The 24,134-nt window shown below is 33.6% G+C and overlaps 1 protein-coding gene across 5 annotated transcripts in view, besides 1 other annotated feature; it reads right to left on the bottom strand.

Annotated features, from left to right (window-relative positions):
* The window catches only part of CDH10 (cadherin 10), a 157,879-nt gene that overhangs the window by 41,751 nt on the left and 91,994 nt on the right, over window positions 1-24,134 (bottom strand). For all 5 annotated transcript variants that reach the window (NM_001317222.2, NM_001362460.1, NM_001317224.2 and 2 more), the window contains 3 exons: window positions 8,530-8,824; window positions 6,853-6,972; window positions 6,262-6,429 (listed from right to left, as the gene is read on the bottom strand). Coding sequence is in view for 4 of the 5 variants with exons in the window: in NM_001362460.1 (NP_001349389.1) it covers window positions 6,262-6,429; window positions 6,853-6,972; window positions 8,530-8,824 (583 nt within the window). In the remaining variant the exon portion in view is untranslated. The remainder of the gene's footprint in view (window positions 1-6,261; window positions 6,430-6,852; window positions 6,973-8,529; window positions 8,825-24,134) is intronic.
* Window positions 9,470-9,764: a silencer, noted in NCBI's record as "tiled region #3372; HepG2 Repressive DNase matched - State 9:DNaseU". NCBI's record gives its function as "represses a minimal TATA promoter and a strong SV40 promoter by Sharpr-MPRA in HepG2 cells {active_cell/tissue: HepG2}" and the evidence as "EXISTENCE:reporter gene assay evidence [ECO:0000049][PMID:27701403]".

The raw sequence follows: 24,134 nt of genomic DNA on the forward strand, positions 1-24,134 counted from the left end.
AGCCGAATAACCTGGATCCGCAACCTGCTTCTTATTTATTTCATGAACAAGTGACTTTACATTTACATGATTCTGTTTTTTTAACTAATGAAAAGGGGTAGATTTATGTTGGTGCAAAAGTAATCGCAGTTTTTGCTATTAATGGAAAAATTACTTTTGCACCAACCTAATACATTGTCTATCTCATACGGATGATGTAAAGATTGAGTTTATATTTGCACAATATTTTACAGTAGTATTTAGTGCATGCTATATCAATGCCTAATACTATTATTTTTACACTGTTGCTGTTTTATTTACTTGGGCAAACCAGATAATCCTTTTTTAAGTAATTTAATAAGATAAAGTCAGTAGCCCTACAATGGCATTCAGACAAAACAAACAAACAAGCATGCATAGGTATGACATCTCTTTTAGGTTCCTCATAATTCTGGAATTGTTTACAGTTGCTTCTGAATTGGTTGTAGTTGTGTATAATCTTTAGTGTTAATTTGATGGGAAATATAATGAATTGATGTTGAAATTCTCAGGAAGTAAGATCTTCCTTCAGTTTATTTGTATACTCAAAGTCTTCCATCACCTATAATTTATCTTAATAAAAACTGTCCTTTAAGTGGGGAAATTTTTTATTAATTTTCACAACTAACATTAACCAAATGATGAAAAACTGCTTATATTTGTCACTATTCTCAATAATCCATGGGAAATATATAGTAGACAACAATAAATTCATTCTTTTGCGTGCATTTAGGATTGATCTGGATGCTTACATAATAAATATCATATCAAATCTCACTTAATTTGACATTGATTATCTATATACATAATACCCTGCATACATATGAGAGAGTCACTCAATCATACAGTGACCTTTTGCTTGGAGTTTGTAAGGATTTTTTCTCCCTCATAAAGGCTCAGCAAAGCTGACACTACATAAATGTACATGTTATTGGTCCATGACTTCTATTTGTCAACCTAAATTGTGTGCAATAATGTCTGTGAGTCAGTGAGTGTACAGAAGCATGATTCTATAAAAGCCAGGTTTCTCAGGAGCTCATACCCATTGTTAAGTGGAATTTGAAAACAATCTGCTTTCCTTGACTTTTGTCCCTGTGATGGGATGTATGGAAAAGCACCTACCTGTGAATAAAAGGCTCTATTTTTACTTTTTTTTTTTTTTTTTTTTGAACTAGTGTCTAGTCCTAGGCACCAACCAGTTGGCTGGGACCCTGACCACCTGCTTAAATGCTTTTGCAAACTCTTTATCTCTAGGTCTTGACCTTCTTCTCTGGTGCCTTTTTTTTTTCCTTGAATAGATTTGAGAGTCTTTTCAAATAGACATTCTCTGGAGTGTTAAGGCAAAGATGGAATTAGCCAGGCCTCAGTACATTAGATGTCCCTTAATCACTAACTATGGGCAGATGAAAATCAATATTGTAACATTTTCTCAGGGATACTTTTTGTAAAACCTTTTGGAAACAAATACTGTTGTCCCAGTTGGTTTTGTCAAGCCCTACAATGATCAGGTTTCAGTAATGTAATCTTTTCATAGACCTTTCCAATGATCAGTTTTCACAATTTTACATAATTTTATGATTTTCTATTTTTTATGATTTTAGAGAAAGAAGGAAGGAAAAGGGGTAAACAGGACTAAAAATATTCAAGTGAAAATACCAGGCAGATAGATTTAAAGTATGGAAGTATAATATTTTTCTAACACTAGCAAAATGAAACAGAAAAAAATAAGGATTATTGAATGTTTGGTTGGAGAGCAGGAAAATTTGCTCTGGAATCCTCCTCAATGGAACTGTTATTGGTACATATGAAGTAAGTGCATTTATTTCGTATACATTTTAATATTTAGAGCCCAAAGAGTAGAAAATACTTTTAGATATCAGGATTTAGGTATTAGATATTAGGATTTTAGATATCAGTTTTAAGGTGCATCCCTACCTTCTAAGCCATGAACTCCTTTTAAGAATTATACTAATGTGCATATGTTAATGTTCACATATTTATATACTTTAAAAACCATGAGACTATAAAGATAACTTAGATCAGGCACACAGTTATGATTTTGTTAATGGCAATGATAATTTATAATTATCAATGTTCCCCTGAGCGTAAAGCCCTCTAAACTCATCTCCCATCAACCTCCTCATTCTTTGGAATGTTCCAGCCACAGGAGGTTTCAGTTGTGGATAGACTCCCTTCAATTTCCAACCTCAGGATTTCCCACATGCTGATCTTTTTGCTTAGTGGATTTCTCCCTCTATTGGTGGCTAGATCCACTCTATATTGCAGTGTTCAGGTGAAATATCACCTTTTGAATGACAGCTTCTATTAGCCTTCCCCCTTCCCCAGTCACCAAATCCTGCTTACATTGGAATTGTCTCACATGTTATTCTTTTTATACAGGTCTGAACCAACCCCTTGCCAGTCACTGATGCTTTTACTTATGTATGATTTGTCTCCCCTGCTTTAATGAAAGGCAATAGGGATACAAACCAGGGCTTTTTGTTGCTATTTTGACAAACACCATATACTTGTACTTAGTTTCTAAAATGGCTGTATTAGTCTATTCTCATGCTGCTGATAAAGACATACACAAGACTGGGTAATTTATAAAGGAAAGACGTTTAATTGACTCACAGCTCCACATGGCTGGGGAGGCCTCACAAACGTGGTGGAAGGTGAATGAGGAGCAAAGTCACGTCTTACATGGCAGCAGGAAAGATAGCTTGTATAGAGGAACTCCCAATTATAATACCATCGGATCTCATGAGACTTATTCACTATCACAAGAATAGCACGGGAAAGACCACCCCCGTGATTCAGTTACCTCCCACTGGTCCCTCCCATGACACGTGGGAATTATGGGAGCTACAATTCAAGATGAGATTGGGGTGGGAACACAGCCAAACCATATCAATGGTATTTGGTGCAAGGGTGATCTCAATAAATATTTTTATATCAATGAATTTGTGATGTACTTGAATTGCCCCTCATATGACATCAAAATTTCTCACTTAGATGCTACTGGGATATTGGGCCAGATAACTCTTTGTCATTAAAATTGTAAGGATGCTTAGAAGCAGCCCTAGCTTCCACCCATTAGATTCCAGTAGTACTTGGCAGTTGACATAATCAAAAACGTCTTGGGACATTGCCAAATGTCCAGGGCCATGGCTAGGGAGGGCAAAATTATCACTGAATGAGAAACATTGTTATAAATCCACACAATAAAATAAATGAAAAAATAAAGCAAGATATCTGAGTTTTCATTTGTCTCTGTCTCCTCCAAATGACTGAGATTGTTGATACAGCATACAGGGAAATAATGAATTTGGATCAGCCAACCTAAAGGAAAGTTTGAGTTGTGACCTAACTTTTATAATACTGAATAATAATAATAATAATGGTAATAGAGCACTAGCATTAGTCAACATTATTGGATGCATAAATACACTAAATTCCAGCCACTGAGTCCATGCTTCCTAGATATTAAATTATTTAGTCTTAGATTACTCCGCAAAGAAGAGACTGCTATCCAGTGTTACTGATGACAATGAAAAATAGATGGTCAGTTTAACTGACCCAAGTGAAAAACCTACTGAGTGAAAATTACTGGGACTCACACAGGATGACTGCAGGGCCTGCTGCTGAGCTATCCAATATGGCAGCCACTAGCCAAGCCACTAACCGTCATATAGCTATGACTACAAATGTAGTTTTTGAAATGAGATTTGATGTAAGTTGAAAATACTTGATAACTTGATATAAGCTTAAGAATTAGATAAAAAAATTTAAAATATTTGAGTATGTTTTATATTGATGACATATTTAAAGGGTAATGTTGGGTTAAAGAAAAACATATAATTCAAATAAATGTCTCTTGCTTTTTGAAAACTTTTCCTATGTGGCTTTATCATTTCTATCCTAAGCCTCCTTTTCTTCTACACTTTGGGTATAATAATAGTAATGGTGTCTATAGATTAGTTGTGAGGTTTCAATGATATGCTACATATGAAAGGCTTCATGAACTGTAGAACTCCCTCCAAAGATTGTCTATTTATTTAAATAACATTCAATATGAAATACAATTTTCCAGACGTTATATGATTTAGACAATCAAATAACATTCTAATTCTCATGAATGTGTGTTCCCAAAGGTCAGATAAGGTTGTAAATATTCATAACAAAAAAGATAACTTAGAAAATAAAAATCCATAAATTATGTTTCCATCTATAATTTGAAAATAATGGGACAGTTCAAGATGAGCCTGGGCAACACGGCGAAACCTTGTCTCTATTAAAATTACAAAAATTATTTGGGCATGGTGGCATGAACCTGTAATCCTAGCTACTCATGAGGCTGAGGCAGGAGAATCACTTGAACCCGGGAGGTGGAGGTTGCAGTGAGCCAAGATCACACCACTGCACTCCAGCCTGTGGCACAGAGTGAGACTCACTCTCAAAAATAATAATAATAATAACAATAATAATAGTCATAATAATAATGAGACAAGATATGGGATGATCTAAAATCCTCTAAATGTATTGTACTATACATTCGGAGTTGGAGGTAGATTTAATTTACTTATTAAATGTGTCATTTGTAAATGGACTGTATTTTAGACACATGTGTATATATATTCCTGAAAATGTAAAATATAATACTACTCCCAAAGGAAATTTATTACTGATAAAATACTTTTTTTCTCCAGTAATAGTTTTGCTCATTGTGGATTATGCAATTAATTAGTTATGGTTTATTGTGCTGAATTTGCATGTTCATTCTCCTGGTAAAAGGCTCGAGCTAAGAGGTGGTCAAAAATACTTGTAAAATGTGAAATTTAAATTTTAAACAGCACACACCTTTAAACTTGTTCTAAGAAATATGCAGGATTATTATTGGTTTTATTTTTCTTACCAATATTAAAGGTAACCTGGAGCTGAAACCTAATTAATTGAAAAAAGCATAAGCACATGCCTTGCCCTATGAGTTCTGGAGCCCAGCACCACAGCAGCAGACCTGATGGGCATACGTTAAATATCTAATCAAAAACTGTCACAAATATATAGGTACGTGATTAGTGTGCTCAAGAAAATTCTATATGAATTTTGAAATCTTTCCAAATACATGCTTTTAAACAATTTAATTTGAATCATGCACTATTAATAATGAAAGTTAGGTAAAAATAGTACAGAAAAGAGAAAAAATGCTTTTAAAGAGTCAAAACAATGCTGTTAATTCTTAGACAGTAATTCCTCTGAGCAACGGCCTTTAATATAAAGATAAATATTACAAAAAAAGCTACTGCCTTTAAATTTTAATACTTTATCACAAGGTATTTAAAGTAAATTACAAACTAAAATGGTGGGGGGACCAATTCAGAGGTTAATATTCAGCATATACTGGACATTCAGGACATAGGCTGTAGTCGAATATTTTTTTTTGTGTCACATTTCTAATGACCCTAATTTCTATCTTTAAATACAGGATCTTTTAGCAAAGCAAAAAATTGGGAGTGTCCATTGAGACTTGATACCATCCTCTTTAGTATGCGAGCAGACATGTAATCTACCAAATTTGTACAAGAAAGAAGAATAAATGCATGTGTTTCTATGGTCAGGAGCTAAAGGTTCTTTACCTATTCCTAATCTATTTTAAGAATTTGAGAGGTCAGTTCAAAATAGATCTATGCATAGATCAGGAATGCAAAATGTTATACTAAGGTTGTCACTCCACACATAATAACATTAAATGCAAGTCAGATAGTTTTCGGAGGTTCTCGATCTACAGTGCTTTCTGGCTTAGTTCTTATAATTTGTCAAATTAGATTTTTTGTCGAAAAAAATTGTCCTCAATTTAGGTTCCCCTTTATTTAATTTGAAACAGAAACAAACATATTTATTGTAAAATTATGACTTTGTTTTCTAATAAACATTGTTTCCTTTTGTTAGCTGAAAGAAACAGTTCTTAAACTACAATTACAGATGCCAGGCTCACATATGAAGAGGTTTGGGATCATAGGTCTTCCTGTCTCTGAGTGAAATATGCTTGTAATATTCAATTTTATCTTTTAATAACAGTGAGTTCATCAGCATGTACACCTTTTGTTTACTTTTGTATCACATTTTCAATATGTTTTAAATTAAATGAATGACAATTGCTTTTTCTTTTCTTTTTCTTTCTTTGTCTGTCTTTTTTTACTCTAAATCTTTTGCCCGGCAGAATGACCATTAAAGGGTGCTTACTCTGGGGGAAACGTGGTGGGTTGTCATTGACATCTGTCAGCGTGATGTTCACAGTGGTTGTCCCCGATAAGCCTCCCATCTGGCCGCCCATGTCTTTGGCCTGGATGACCACTTGGTATTGCTCTCTGTTTTCTCTGTTCATGTTCGGTAAAGCAGTCCTGATGATACCTTGAGAAAATATAAAAAAACTTCCATTATCTTCACTGAAATCTCCATTGTTATTTTATTAAGTCCACAAAAAGTATTTTTAAGCTAGTGATTTTTTTGAAAGATACGTTTTGATACTCGTTTTTATTGTCTAGAAATTATAAAAGTGATTCTGCGGAAATATCATTTGTATTGTGTTACCCTTTCCTAGCAATACCACATGTGCTTTGAGTGGCCTATGCTTATATGTTCAAATATCTAAACAGAGGTTTCCATTAGTTCACTCTATCATTTAACTTTGAGTTCTTATATCTTTAAGTGTTGTGTCTTCACTCATCTGTGAGTATTAATGTTAAGGTTTTGTTCTTATTCTCCCATGGTCTTTCTACTGATAAAGGTCATAAAGATGATCAAATGAACAAACAGCAATTCATGATTCCTGACCTGTTTCAGGCTCCACAGAGAAATAGGGCTGCCCTTGAAGTATGCTGTAAATGACTCTGGCGCTGTTCCCATATGAAGGGTCATCGGCATCTGTAGCTGTGACTTGCACCACAGAAGTACCTGAAGTATCCAAATTCAGCTTAGTTCTGCACAGTACCAGAAGGAGGAGCAAAAGCACTGGTTTTCATTGAAGACTTGAATGATTTCTGGCTTTAATCATGACCTCTTAAAGAAACTTTCATATATAATTTGGATGAATATGTAGATATATAGTGTTATTACAGGTAAACTCTGAGTTCAAATACATAATATTTATTTAGTCAACATGTCTATTTTTATGCATGCAATAAATAATTCTAGCATACAGAATATAATAAATACAGTCACTTTACAAATGCTCAAGTTGGATATTGAAATTCATTTTCACATAATAGATTTGTTTTGTGTAAAGGGCATATCTAATCACACAGGAGTAAGTATGTTCTTCTTCCCCCTCTCCACTAATTAACTCTAAAAATAATTAACATCTGCTCTAGAATACAATTTTATGAATAGATTAAATTCTAAATTTAGAAACAATTCAACATGATCCCAAGTTCCATGAACTACTAAAATCTATTTAATAAAGTTCAAGATATTTAAAAGGACTTTATAGTGAGATGACTGCCAGAAGTTCTTGGGATTTAATGAAGTAAATATTAAATAACAATCCCAGAACAATGCTTTTGAGAAATGTAGAGTCTGAAAATGTACAACTATAACTGTTACAAGTAAAAAAAAGCTTTAGATTTGTTTAATCAGTTTAAACAACTTCACACATATTTGAGAAGTGTCTATTCTCTTACCAAATCCAAAAATATGACTCTAAAAATGTTATCACTGTTCTCTGATGCTTTTCATTGCCTGTCATTCTATATCTAATTTAAAAAATTAATGCAGTTTTAATTTTCTTGGCCTACAGATACATCTCCCATTTATGTACATTGAAAAGAGAAATTCTACTTTCTTGAATGTTATATTTCTACCTTTTTTCATGCCTTATGTTTTACAGGTTCCACAATCTAACTTGGTAATTCTGTATCAGTATGTATTTAACCATAGGTTTTCAACTGGTTTTTTTCGAAAATAAGATTTCAAAGAAGTTGAAAGATACCAGCAGAGTTTTATACATAATAATTATAATGATAGGATTTTTTTATGATGTTTAATAAAAAAATTCTAATCAATTTCCTCAATTGAAATATGTAGATAGTACATATTCCAGATGAAATTTTTCGGTAAATTATGACTAGAGTATATGTGAAGATTATATAACCTCTATGGTATTCTAAATGTATTTATATTATATTTGGGATCAGAAATTTATACAACTTTTATCTGAATCCAAGGGACAAAAAAATTATTTTCACAATTTTCTACTGAAGTTCAATGATATTTTCTTGATTTTTGAGGAGAGTGTCTACCTATATGTATTATAAAGATTCACAAATCTGTAGGAAGTGTAAATTGCATTGATCTTTTTTTTTCTGATTGTCTCCTAAAAGAAAAAATAAATAAATATGTACTCATGGTAGCAAATCAAAGAGGATTTCAATTAATTGATTATACTATTATAAGAATTTCTTGATTTTTAAAACACTTTTTGAATACCATCATAAACGCTGTAAATGAACTTACCTACAACAGACATTTCGGGAACACTAGCTGTATAGATTTCTTCTGGGAACGTTGGCTCATTGTCATTGATATCATGAATTTTGATCACAAACTCTGACTCTGGCTCTACTGGCCTCAGAGTTCTTCTGTTAATAGCTTGTGCGCGTAGAGTATAAAAGGCCTTTTCCTCCCTATCAATTCGCCTTGTGGCATGAATATCACCTGTTTTTTCATCAATAATAAAAAGAGTACCAGCTCCATCTCCAGATAAGATATATTTGAGTGATCCATCTCCTTTATCTTGGTCTGAATGTAGCTAGGGGAAATAAAAAAGAGTATATCCATGATCATGTATAAAGGTGCAGGATGCTGAAAGAATTCGCAGAAGGTCTTTCATGTCTCATCACTGAGCAACGGGGTCGGCTATCCTACTTCTTGAAATGAGAGCTGAATAAGTTTGATCACACGCATTTATACACTTTAAAGAATATGAATAGCCTTTTATATATCAGGATACTTTTTATTCTAAATGAAAAAAATGTAATAAAATTAAACCAAGCTCCTGTCTTTGCTTGGTAAATATTCATTTTTATGGGCAAATAAATTCTGTCCCAGATATAAGATATCAGTCTTGATAGGTGGGTGTAAACATTGCTCTCTCATCTCTTTCTGTGAATGAAAGATTATTTTATTCTTAAATGGTGCAAAACAAAATCTGCTATAAACTTGTTATTAGCTATCATATTTTTGTTGATGAATTAGTAATGTCTTAAGAACTGTAAGACAAGCAAAGCTGTAGGAGACAAAGTTCTTACTTTAAAAACAACATACATTATTTTTTGGTTTATACAATAGACAGCGATTACCCCACAAATATTTGTAGTACTCAGAGCAGATAGATATCTACATAACACATGTCTGTAAATTTTAAAGTTATAAATAAAATTAATGAACTATAAAATAAAATATGTTCTAGCCTCCTGCCTTGTCAAATCTACCTTTTTAAAAACCTACAAGGACAAATTCTGTGCAGGAACAAGGCAATACAAGGCCTGTGTCTTGCTTCTTTTCCTGAGCCTGTAACATAACCACACTGAAGCTTTGAGAATCACTTCATCACATCAAAGAGCTTTGCATGCCTTCATGTGGACATCTCAGCCCAATGTACACACCATCCTAGTGCAAATGCCAGTCCAGGAGTTCATGTGTCATGAACAAATTCCATCTAGGTTATTTTTCAACAGATGCCCTTAAGGCTAGCCAACAGGCTTAGGAGTACATATACTACTGTACTAGTGACTGAGTCTAACCTTTGGGCAATTAACTTAAAGAAGAGCCTCTTCTAAAACCTAGAAGCAAGCTCCGGAATGTTTGGGCAGGAAATAATGGGCCCAATGACCTTGAGAATTCTGGAAATGGACAGGCAGTTGCCAGATGGGTATACCTCCTGCCCTATATAGAATTCTTACTCTGAAAAGTAAAGCGTGGCCACAGGAAGAACAGATCTTGGCTTTGAGAAACATAAGAAGTGTAAGGTTTTTCTTTCAGTGTTACCACCCTACCAATAAACATTTTTACATGCTAGAATCACAGTTTTATTATGTGCAATGAGATTATGCTTCAACAAATTTTTATGTTGTTACATGTTTGATAAGAAATATTTTTAAAACTGTAGATCTTAATTTCTACAAAAATATTTATTATAAGACATCATTATAGACATGTTTTATGTTTTAATATTTACATAAAATCTAGACATAAATCAGAATAGGCACACTGATCTACAGCCTACAGAATTGAGAATTCGAGACAATAATCTTCAATTATATGAAAAAATACATAGAGTTACGTATTTACCTAAATAAGTTTCATTTTTGCTCTTTACTTACACCAACACTCATTTTCATCTAATTAAGTGTAGAATTTTAAACTAATTACGTCCTATTTAAGAAGACTTTTGTTTATTTAATTGAAAGGTTCTTTTTTACTTATGAGAACTTATTTCAATGAACTTGCCCCTGAAAACATTTTTATGTAGACACCAAAAATATTTAAAATAAATAAAATTTTATGTGTATTTATCTTTAATGCATGCTATTACTTGTTATCACTGGGTCTATAAAAGCAGTCTACTTTTTGGTTAATGGAAGTAGTAATTAGCACCTAGCCATCAACTCTGGATAAAACTACATTTCTGGATAAACTACTTATTAATACAGATATAATAGATTAAGAAAACCCCAAATGGGCATATACTTTGGAGAAAAAGATAAAGAAGTCAGGTAACAAATAGTTTCTTACTACATTTTTAGCTATTCATAAACAATAATGTAAGGTTGAGAAACTCAGGAAATAACTCCTTTTAACTAAAAAGCTTTCCGAAGTAACATGTGACTTTTATCCAGGAAACCACTCTTAAAAAAAGTCACAAGACTGATGCTTTACAGGAACTGAAAATGTACATAGTTGCTGGGAAACTTTCCAATTATATGCATGTGCAACACAGTGGCAATTTTCCAAGTTACAGATTTAAGCACTGCATATCTCTTGTTCTATCTGAGAATTAAAATAATTCAAGAAAAATTATTGATATTATCACTAATTTGATGAGCTGTTATGGTTTACAGTAGACAGTTATATTTATTCTCTATGCATTCAATAATTTTAATTGAGAAATATTTGCTTATTCTCCTAAGAATTGTGTACTTCTTAATCCAAATCAACAATTCCAGTCAGTTTCTGTGGAAGATCCAAACATTTGTGAAATGGAAATTCACAAGACAGCCCCTAAAAAAGCCCCCAGGAATCAATTAGGATTTGTTAAGCTTACAATACCTAAATTATCAAAGAAGGAGTAGAGGTTTGAACCTGGGAAATTTTTATATGTTATTAATTTTGCATTTTAGAAAGAACACTGCATAAATATAGAATATAGATTTGGAATGAAGAAGGATCTAAGGCAAGATAGAGGTCATTAAAACCCTTTCTCCTATTCTAATCAGTTAGACATGCAAAAAAGCTGCTAAGATGGTGAGATTTTAATTTTTAGAAAGCTCAGTTTTGGAATATAAATCACAGCAGGATTTATTATCTTCACTTATACTACAGAGAGTGAAAATTAAATCTTATAATTGGACCACATACTGTGGGAGTTTCTGTTGGATTAGAAAATTGAACATGGTAGTAGGGAATCAAAGAGATGGAGTTTGCAAGTAGACTGTGGTTTTGAGAATCAGAAAATGAAAGGATTTCTACCTTCACCAATGGGAATATAATTAAGAGAAGCAAATTACAACTAAGAATTTATACAGTTTGATCCTAAGACGACAGAATTACTATACGATTTACTTGAATCACTAGAGCTTGTACTAATGATAATGTATATTTAAAAAGTCACAGAGGGAAACAAATGATCACTAGCACTAGAATGAAGGGCAAAAAGGACTGTATTTGAGGGCATGACATTAGCCTATGTTTAATGAAAGATGGTCTTTGAAAACATATTTGATACATGGACAAGTAAAGAAACTACAAGAGATATTCACTGTAATAATGAGATTATGTGGATAATCTAATTGTACATAAAACTGTGATCCTGGCATGTAAAAATGTTTATTGGTAGGGTGATACAACTAAAAAAAAACCTTACACTTCTTATGTTTTTCAAAGTCAAGATCTGTTCTTCCTGTGGCCAAGCTTTACTTTTCAGAGTAAATAAAGGAGGCAGAAAGATGAATTTCCAGATCTCCTGAGACTTGGGGAATAGCTCCTCTTCTAGATGAAACTGATGGGATACAGGAACTAAGTAATAACAGGTCTATTGATATTGATGATTTCCTAACAGTTACAGAAACAGACCAAAGGACAAAGTTCTTGAGTTATAGTCCCCTTCCTAAGCTTCCCATCTTCTTTTTAAATTTCTCTTTAGTTTTTTTAATTATCTCTTATTCTGCATAATTTTTCAACAGTTGTTCTGGTATTACCACCTTCCCTCATTCTTTGTGCGTCTGCGGCACAATTTTACTTCCTATTCCAATTCATTGACTGAGTAATGATCAGACAAGGGTTAGTCTTTATAACTGCAGCTTTCTCATGATTCTTCCTTTTTGTTTTGGATATCAGGTAACAACACTTGGATTTAAAAAACAAACATTTTATTGAACGAAAGAGTTTACATTGCTGAGAAGTTGGGATCAATGGGTCACACGCCAAAAAACTTAAAGCATCTACTTTGAAAGATATGACTTATATATTGATTTGTGTTTTACTATTTTATTATGTGAGACATTAAGTTTTCTTTAAACATAAAAAAATCAGATTATTGTGGTTTTAGTTCCTCAGTAACACCTGTTCTTCAGTGTGAAACATTTGTGTCACACATTTTTAAAAAGAATTTTATGTTAATACTGACCTTTTCTTTCCTTGAGAAAAGCCTATTAAAAATTCACAACCTGCTGTGTTCCTTGTAAATTCACAACCAGATAAAGGACATGGCAAGATACATGACAACTAATGAAAATAGAACAACTGGTACTGCACTGCACATTTAAAAGTCATTTTCCCATTGTTTAACTTTTTTATTCAGACATTTAATTGTAATACATTATTACATTTGTTTATATTGAGTAATTTTAATATTTACAACTAAATGATAGATTGAATTTAAAGAAAAATTTAAACAAATTTTTCAATGAATGCCTGGTCACTTGAAATGTGTCAGATTTCTGCTAATTTTATAACATTTCTTGTAAAACATCTTTGTATAAAATGAAATTTATAAGTTAAAGGGGACTTACAGCCTATCTAGTTTAAGACCATTTTAAAAAATTATTTTTAAAGAGGAGGAAAAGAATATCCAATCAATTGTTTATCCAGTGGAAATGAAATAAGCTTACACGTAAGTATATGGACAGTGTTGGTAAAACATTTTAGTTTTTATCTGTTCAGTCTGCTATAGCAAACTACAATCATGTGCCACATGAAAACATTTCAATGACAGATTGCATAGACAACAGCAGTCCCATAAGTTTATAATACTGTATTTTTATTGTATATTTTCTATGTTTAGATATACGAAGACTTATCATTGTGTTATAATTGCCCACAGTACTCAGTAAAATAACATGCTGTACAGGTTTGTAACCTAGGAGCAATAGGCCCTACCATATAGCCTAGGTATGTAGAAGGTTATACCATCTAAGATTGTGTGAGTACATTCTACAATGTTTGCACAATGACAAAATTGCCTAATGATGCATTTCTCAGAAGTTGAAGCTATGCATGATTGGACCACAGACTGGGTGGCTTATAAGCAACAGAAATATACTTCTCACTGTTCTGGAGACTGGGAAGTCCAAGACCAAGGTGCCAACAGATTCAATGTCTGGTAAGGGCCCTCTTTCTGGTTTATAGATGATACCTTCTGGCTGTGTCTTCACATGGCAGAAGGGCAAAAGGTCTTCATTGAGGATCTCTTGCTGGAGCACTAATGCTATTCATGAGATTTCCACCTTCACACCTAAGCGCCTCACAAAGGCCCCACCTCCTAAAACCATCACCTTAGGAGTTAGGATTTCAACATATAAATCTTGGTGGTGAGGCCACAAATATTCACACCATAGCAAATCTTTAACTCTTAATATCGATTCATTTTTAAGTTACATTAAATGAAGAAATATTACCAAAAAAATCAATCTACAAAGTACAGGAAATTTAAGTAATTTGTTACCAAAAGGATAACAGATAAAATATTTTACTTTTATTTTCACCATTGGCTAGAAGAAAAATAAAGAAAAAAAGTTGAATAGTGAAAAAACCATATCTATCAGGAGGCACTTATATTGCTTATATTATTGTGAGATTATTTCTCATTCAGAATATTGATACCATTTTAGATATTGATAATTGTTGGTATTTGGTTTCATTCCAAAAACTGGAAAAGTAGAGATAATTAGAATTATATTTGTAGCACTACATTAGAATTATGTTTGTAATAGTTAGACTAGTTTTTAGAAAGATAAATTTCGATGAATGAATCACAAGGATTATAACATTCAGTATCTGAGTCAAACAATTTATGCTAAGTTTTTACATACATTAACCTGAAAATAACGAAATTATTAAATAGATTTTTCAATTTACAGTGATAATTTGTGCCTGATTTTCTTTCAAACAGCCAAGGTATTTTATATTTGTTGAAAAAAATGTAGAATGTGGCAAATACGCCATCCTCTCCTGGTGGTATCATTAGTATTCTGCTCTAATTGCTCCAGTTGATAAACATAATATTAAATGGAAAATAAAACACTGAATCAAATAACTTTAAATTTGCACCCAACAACAACAACAACAAAAAAACACAGGTGAAAAATTGTCTGGTATCAGAAAGCAGCTGAAAGCATGTCAAAGCCAGCAAACACAATCTGGTCAGAAATAAATAAATAGTTATTCATGTTGTTGGGGCTGAAGAAAAATGAGGAGAATGGGAGAAAACCTTGAATTAAATGGAGTATGGGAAGATTAGAGAGTAATGCTGGCAATATAGTCCTCCAAGTGTAGTTTGCTCCCTCCAGAGCACTGTTTCAATATTAATGTACATAAAAACAAGACCAATTTCATGAATCTCGATAAAACAATTCTTCCTTCAAAAGTGGAAGGCCGGGTGTGGTGGCTTACGCCTGTAATCCCAGCACTTTGGGAGGCCGAGGAAGGCGGATCATGAGGTCAACAGATCGAGACCATCCTGGGCAACATGGTGAAACCCCGTCTCTACTAAAAATACAAAAATTAGCTGGGCATGGTGGTGCATGTCTGTAGTCCCAGCTACGTGGGAGGTTAAGGCAGGAGAATCTCTTGAACTGGGGAGGCGGAGGTTGCAGTAAGCCAAGATCACGCCACTGCACTCCAGCCTGGAGACAGTGCAAGACTCTGTCTCAGCAACAACAACAAAAATGGAAATGGAGAGGGCAAATAAAGCTTAACAATGAAATAGATTATAAAAACAACTATAATAATTTGCCCATATATATGATTTAAATTGATAAGTACTTTTCTGAATAATTTCTTTCGGGGACCAGAGGCAAGTTTTGAAGATTTAAATGATGGGTGGGCACATATAGCTGCATAAATTAGTTCTTGGCAAAAAAGTTAAGTGGTTCATTCTTCACATTTGACAGGGTTCCCCAGAGATTTCCTCCAAGAGGGAAAACGTCAATAGGATCTGGAGTAAATAACTAGGGATTCCTCTTTCCCATTTAGTCTTCCAAGTCTGCAGCCTATTGAAAGTTGGCCTTGTGCTTGTGGCCACTTCTGACTAAGGTGTCCAATCTGGGATGGTCCTGGAGATGTAGGAGCTCTCTTTGAAGTCAACTTGAATTACTCAAGAACCTACAAGAGATCAGACTTCTTCATGAGAATGCTATATAATTCTAGAAGGCAGGTCCTGCTAAAAATGTTGCTATGTCACTTCTTGAAGCATTTCAACTAGGATATATTTATTTGCTAGCATTGGAAAGATATTAAGATTACACTAAAGGCATTTATTTATTTCAGAAACACACTTTCACAGGCATTATCTACTTCCAAGGCCAGAAATTTAAAAAATATATTTACAGGCATTAACTGCTTCAAAGGTCAACAATTTAAGTACTTAAGTTAACGAACCCTCCTTCTAAGTTCTTAAGTGGTATATAAAACACAAAATAGACACATTATTTCTCATGTATTAGCTTATCACTTGTAAAGAGAGTTATTGAGAAAATGATTTAGAGAAAGTTCATATTATTTTAGAAGCCAGGACTCTTCTTATATTTTTGAAGATCACTGAATTATGAAAATTATCTCCTTGTGGTCTGAAAATGACATTGAACGTTTTTACACCTTATTTTTTCCCCACAACTTGGAGAAGTCTTCTTAAGAATCTTGGATTTACAATATAGGGATATATGTACACAGGTGTCTAGGAAGTTGTTAAGTAAATTTACAACATTTAAAAGCAAGAGATTCATTTAAAAGAAGATCACAGAAAAATTAGTAGGGAAATATAACTTCTTTGCTATGAGCTATACAAATATCTGAGAATCATTCTTTCCTCCTTTTCACCAAGAAAGGCATAATGACAGAGAATTTTAAACGCAGGTGAGGGCTCAGTGTAAGTATTCACTAAGGAGCCTTTCAGGCCTGGCATGTGGCTCATACCTATAATCTCGGTGCTTTGGGAAACCAAGGCAGAAGGATCTTTTGAGGCCAGGAGATCAAGACCAGTCTAGGCAACACAGACTCCTCTCTACATTTTTTTTTCTTTTAATTAGCCAGTCATGGTGGCATGCCTGTAGTCCCAACTACTTGGGACTCAACTGGGACTCATAGGCAGGATTGCTCGAGCCCGTGCATGCAAGGTTACAGTGAGGTATGATCCTGCCATGACATTCTGGGAGACAGAGTAGAACTCTGTCTTCAAAGAAAATAAAAAAAGGAAATATTTCTGTAACTGATTGAATGAAACTAAAGAAGTGATAGAAATTCAAAGGGTGGTATTTTCGGACTTTAAAAGTTTGGAGACTTTGCTACAGAGACAATATTTGAAGGTCTGTGCCTCTAAGCCTTCTAAAGGTGCTTTTATTTTTCAGAAGGTATAGGTTGACAAATACCTGACTGGATTCCTGAAGGAGAAGGACTAGGCAGCAGACTACGGTCTCGAGGGACTATGGTCAAAGAGAGGAAAGAGATAAACGAAGTTGGATCTTTACATTTATTTGATTTTTGAGACACGAACTAAAATGAGCATTTTTTTAAAAGGCTATGAATGCTATCCTTGAAAAAACTTGTGTGTGTGTGTGTGTGTGTACAAAATACACAAACAATGCTAACACAGTATCAGGGGGTACAAAGATCCTCTGAAATATAGCCAAGCAACCCTAAATTAAAATAAAAATAAGATTCTTGTTCTAGGTTAACTTTCTGTGTTTTCCCCAATAAAAAAGAATTAAGAAATCAAGATCAACGCTCTCACAAGGAAAAGGGATTGCTCGATTGACTGAGAGATATTCATATCTTCATCAGATGAATATACCTATCCCCAAACATATCAATGTCATGACTCTGTGATTTGCGTCCTCCCTCATGACATTGATTTATCCACCCTAAAACTTCGTACTCATCTATAAAGATCCTATTTATCCAATTATACTTTTTACATGTGTGTGTATATGTATATACAATAGTATACAAAATTAAATATTTAAATTGCTTATGTATATATGTATATATAACTGAGCATGTACATGGGTATACATATATAATTTGTGTGCACAAATATATACACATATAAACTCTTAACCTGTAACAATTTTGAACTATTATTTTTGTAATTTTTTCTGAAACTAAAAGTATAGTTATTTGAAAATAAGAACCAAGTTTTCTACTCTTGTGGACTCCAAACTTCTCACAGCACATAGTACATTTTCCTTTTATCTATTTTATTTATTTATAAAAGAAAATGGACATCAGAGCCAGATGTCAAACAAATAAATAAAAAAGATGAGCAATGATTTTGGAAAGCCTGAATATTTTAAATGAAGTGAAAGAGAGCCAGAAGTTCATAATGAAACATGGGGTCAACAATTACTCTATGTTAAAAGTATAAATCTGCACAAAGAAAATTTTAGCCTTCAAACTGAAAAAGATTGGGCTGTAAGATATACAGGACTTCCAGTTAACTATGAAATTAGATCAGTGGACTATGTATACATGGATTACCAGAGGACGATTTAAAATTTTTAGTGAACTGCTAATAATATAAATGCTAATCCAAATTTGCCTTTGAAACTGTAAGTTAGATCATTGTAAACATCTGTAATTTATCTTAAGTGTAGGATGAGGTAGGTAAGCAACAGCAGGCCAACGTTCCCACTGTCATCATGTAGAACAGCTAAATAAATCACAGAAAATCATATTGCCAGGGCCAAATTGCTATGTAAACAAGAACTGAATAAACTGAAACCTGAGAGAAGAGAATTGTACAGATGTGAGCTGATTACTGGCAGCTGCTTTTTCCCGAGGGAATTTGCCAATTCTTGGCCAGGGGCTTGAAGGTGAGTATCTGTAACTGGCCAAGGAAAGGGCACTTCTAGGAGAAAAAAAAATAAGAGTTTTTATGGTACTGGAGTAAAAATATTGGTAAACTGAAGGTCTTCAAGCACATTGCCAGTCTTCCCCAAAAGACTTTTGTTGAATAGAGTCTGTAGGAGGCTAAAGGGCAAGGCTGAAAGCTTCTGAAAGCTGTAATATAATTACCCACATTTCCAGAGAATTGTGGTTCTTAGATTCAATTTTGTTTTTTAAGTAAAGAGGTGAAAGTTGGAAGTCCTCCAGAGATTATGGAATTGAACTTGAGGATTTACAGAGACTTATTTTTTAACCTAAGGGCATTCAACAATTCTCAGTGCCTCTAGAAACTAAACATACACACTGGTCCCTTGACAAATGGCCATCGCTCAGGAGAAGAGAAAGTAGAAGATACACTGCTCTTCATGTCAAGCTTAAGTGGCAAAACACACAGACAAATTCCTCCTGGTGACTTCTGTCAATTGTTGAAGAAGCGTAAAGCAAACAAATGTTAAGAAATTGGGTCATGCAATTGTCAGGGTTGGCAAGTCCAAAATCTACAGGGAAGGGCAGCAGATTCAAAATTCATGTAAGCGTTGATATTCCAGTCTTGAATCAGAAATCCACAGACTAGGCCACCACATGGGAACCTCAGCAGGGTTTCTTTTCTCTTTTTTTTTTCTGAGACTGAAGCTTGCCCTGTCACCTAGGCTGGAGTGCAGTGGCGTGATTTCAGCTCACTGCAACCTCCACCTCCCAGCTTCAAGCGATTCTCCTGCTTCAGCCTCCTGAGTAGCTGGGATTACAGGCACCTGCCACCATGCCCCATGTATTTTTAGTAGAGATGGGGGTTCACCATGTTGGCCAGGCTGGTCTTCAAACTCCTGACCTTGGGGGATACACCTGCCTTGGCCTCCCAAAATGCTGGGATTACAGGCTTGAGCCACCGAGCCCAGCCAAGGGAACCTCAGCAGAGCTTCTATGCTATAGTCTTGAGATAGAATTCCCAGTCCTCCTCTTTTTTTTTTTTTTTTTTTTGGAAACCTCAATCCTTGCTTTTAAGGCCTTCAACTGATTTGATGGGGTCCAATGGTATTATGGAGAGTAATCTGCTCTATTTGTTTACTGATTATAAATGTTAAGCAGATCTAAAAAATACCTTCATAGCCACAATGAGACTAGTTAGTTTGATCAACTGTGTACCACATCTTAGCCAACTTAACATATAAAATTAATAATCAGAGTGATAAGCAAATAATCTGATAAACAAAAAGAAAACTTTCCAGTAAAAAATACCTCACTCTGGAGTCTTTGTGTTCTTTATACATATTGTTTGGTTAAAAATAAATTTTACTATACATGCAAAAAAGCACAATTAGGGGATTAATATACAAGAATAAAAGTAGAGATAGAGAGAAACCATATTTGAATAACAGATTTAGCAAACAAGGCTGAAAAATAGCTATATTTAATGTATTTAAGAATATAAAACAGGTGGAAAAATAGATAATAATTGAGATAAAATGAATCAAAAGAGCATTCTGAAACTGAAAATACAATATCTGACATTCATAAATCAACAGAGAGGTTTTACAGCAAATTGGATACAGAAAAATGTAAGTTTAATCTTTCAGAGGCCAAAACAAAAATTCCCAGGTGAAGTCGTATATATAGAATATACACAAACTGAAAGATGCAGAAAACAAAAATATGAAAACGAAAATTACATAAGGTCACTGAATGCTCGTGAAGCACAATCAAAAGCTGCAAGACATGAAATCAGATTTCTAGAAGGAGAAAGAGTAAGAACGAAGTAGAAGTTGTATTCCAAGAGGAAATAGGTAAGAAATTTTTAAAAACTGGTGAAAGATTACAGCCTACACATTCAATAAAATGGAAGAACTCCCAAAAGGATAAATGAGAAGAAAATCACACCTAACCCAGTTATACTCAAAATTTTAAATACTCAGGACATAGAGAAAACTATGAAAGTACCTAGGAGAAAGACACATTAATGTCAAAGCAGCAAAAGTGGGTAATAGTTCGTGTTTCAGTAAAAATAACAGAAGCCAATACACAATGGAATGACTTTTTTTTTTTTTTTTTGAGACAAAGTCTGGATCTTGTCTCCCAGGCTGAAGTGCAATGGCACAATCTTGGCTCACTGCAACCTCCGCCTCCTGGGTTCAAGCGATTCTCCTGCCTCAGCCTCCCGAGTAGCTGGGATTATAGGCGCCTGCCACAATGCCCTGCTAATTTTTGTGTTTTTAGTAGAGACGAGGTTTCACCATGTTGGCCAGGCTGGTCTCAAACTCCTGACCTCAGGTGAGCTGCTCGCCTCAGCCTCCCAAAGTGCTGAGATTACAGGCGTGAGCCACTGCACCCAACCTGGAATGACATCTTAAAGCATTGATTAAAAAAATAACTAGCAGTATAACATTCTATATTGTATCAAAATAGGTTTCAAAGAAAGGTGAAATAAGTATATTTTTGGACAAAAACCAGGGAATTTATCCCAACAGGCATTCAGTAAAAGAAATATTAAACTGGTATTTTCAGGCCTAAGGAAAATGATCCCAGATAAAATCACTGAAGAGAATGAAGAATACCAGAACAGCAAATATGTGGTAAATATAAATAATTGCTGAATATACAAAACAATAATAGTCATGTCTTTGGATATAGAAATAAAGTACATGAAAATAATACATAGAAGAAAAGGGGGCAAATGTTTAAAGTATTCTAAATTTCAACCAGTGTGTGAAAATACATTGAATTGTACAGTTTTGACATGCATATTTTTCAGTATAATTCTTCTTCAATACAAAGTTACCATCTTTCATGTCTTTCCACTTTCCATTTGACCCCACCACCTTCACCCACCATCAACATCCAGGCTTATACATCTGGCTATAAATCTAAAAAAAAATGATGTATTCCACCACAATGGAATGTAAAGAGAACTACATAGAATAAGAAAACAAAACAAGGAAATACTAGGATTCCATAAATGTCAATATTTTTCCAAATTTATATCAGATATTTTTTACTTTAAGATATAAAATTAAAATGAACTGTAATTCATTCAGCTGAAATCTTCTCTATCTTTTTCTCCCTTTCTTAGATCTTTATACAACCTCCATCCTGAGGCTGGTGTGCATCTTTTTCATTCATATTTTATATTTTTACAATTTGGGTAAGAATACTTGTCCTTAACAGAATGCATCATTTCCATCCTCCCCACAAATCAGTCCTTCTCATTTTACTAACCTGCATGATAATCAAGCCAATTTTTCAAAATAAAAACCTAAGAGTCACTGAGTTTTTCTCCAACTTTACTCATTTATTCCATAAGAAAATCCCTTCTGACTTCTAATGTATCTCCAATTCCTTCTCACTGCCTCTGCTGTTCCCATTCCAACACAAATCGTCCTAAGCCATCACCTCAGCTCTCATTTAGTCCCTTAGCTTCTTTTTCGGTCATTCTATGGCTACTCTCTACCCAGTAGTGAGAATGATGATTTTTAAATGCATTGGCACTCCTCTGCTCAAAACCCACCAATGGCTTCCCATCACATTACAATACAATCTAAACCCCTTAGCCCAATTTACAACATCCATATGATGTAAGCTCCTGCCTGTCACTTTGGCCTCATCCTTTTCCATTCTTAAGCCATATAAGCCTAAACTGGCCTTTCTGTTTCTTAAATATGCTACACTTATTTCTACCTCAGCCTTTTGCATTTACTATTCCATGGAATGAGACTCACTCCCTCACTTATAATTTTATAGACTATTCAGCATTCCTCTTCAGTATGTTTATATTTTATTATTCCCTCTTGTTTCACTTGCTCTGACATATTCTTTTCAATTCGACACAGATACTTTATATATTCTGATTTAACAATTGGGTAATATATTACTACAAATATCTTCTTCAAGTTTGAGGTATTTTTTTAACATTGGTAACAGTTCATTTTGTACTAGAGAAATGTTTAATTTTAATATAGTCAAATTTATCAAGCATTCATTTTATGGTTACTCCTCTTTGTATCTTACTCAAAAATTATTTTTCTAAGCCAGTGTCATCAATATGGTCTCACAGTCTCTTCACTTTTATATTTTTAAAGCTTTTCTTTTGAAATTTCATTCACTTTCACCACGGAGATTTGCGTTTGTGTGAACATGTGTGTGGTGTGAGCAACAGATCTATATTTAAATAAGAATTCTCTAGAGATATTCATTTAGTCATTGATTTTTAATTCCAATTTTGTAATGGAAATATGTCTGGTATGCCCATCATCTGCTTTAGAACCTTCTATCTGTTCCATTTATCTATTGGCACCAGTATTACACTAACAACATACTCTTAGTTTCTGAAGCTTTACAACTATTACTGATATCTATCCAAATAAACATACTTCCTTATCCATCTTTTAGAAAAATCATCTTAGGGTTCTTGGTCTTTATGACATGGATTTTTATTTATTTATTTTCCATTTTTGACATGGATTTTCTACATGGATTTTTAACATCAGTATGTTATCTTCTATTAAAAACAAAGCAAAACAATAAACAAGAACAAAGTATTCTTGCAAAATATTTTATTGGGATTGCAATGAATTTACATGAAACATATAAGTGCTTCTTGGTCTCAAATATACATATATCTCCATTTATTTAGGACATCTTAATGTCTTTCACTACAATTTTACCTTTTTGTTTGGATATGTAGCTGACTTTTGCCATATGAATTTGTGGGACTCTGTTAGCTTTCTAGAGATATTGTGCTATTATGAGTGAGATTTCTTAACATATTCTTTTTATGGGAATAATCACTTCTAGTGTGCAAAACTATTATGTATTCTAGTAAATTGAAGAAAGGTCATTATACATGCATATTAACTTCAATATAATAATTATAATCAATATAATAAATAAGTTTTCATTAAATGCCTTTGTATAATTTATAATTTTCTTGTGAGTTTTTCCTATAATCTGATAGAAATAGCTCACTACAATATGTTGTTAGTAATTTTTTGTCTATTATCCTATTGCTAATCTTCTTTTTCTGTTAATGTTTGATTGGTGCATCATTTTCCATTCATTAATTTCGAACTTTGTCAATGCAGATTTCCTTGTTAATATAGGCAATAATAGGTTGACTCTATAATACATAGAACTGATATTAGTTCTATTTCTCCACCCCTCAATGATTAATTTTCCTTTAAATTCAATATTTTTGTCACCACTATTATTTCCTTCTTTCCTCATAGCTACTAATTGTCTAAATTCTTATTTTTCTGTGCTCCCTTTTATTTTTTTAACTGAATCACAAATTCTTCCATAACTTCTTAAATTTCCTCATCAATCTCCTGAGGATAAATGGGTTTCATCTTGTTGGAGATAAGATAAATCTCCCAGAGCCTTCTGACAGATTCCAAAAGGGACTGTTTGTGATTCAAACTTTGTTTAGAGCTGTCATCCTGTAATATTTCTTCACCAGCATCTTTGGCCTCTCC

This window comes from Homo sapiens, chromosome 5, assembly GCF_000001405.40.
Source record: "Homo sapiens chromosome 5, GRCh38.p14 Primary Assembly".
Lineage (NCBI taxonomy): Eukaryota > Metazoa > Chordata > Mammalia > Primates > Hominidae > Homo > Homo sapiens.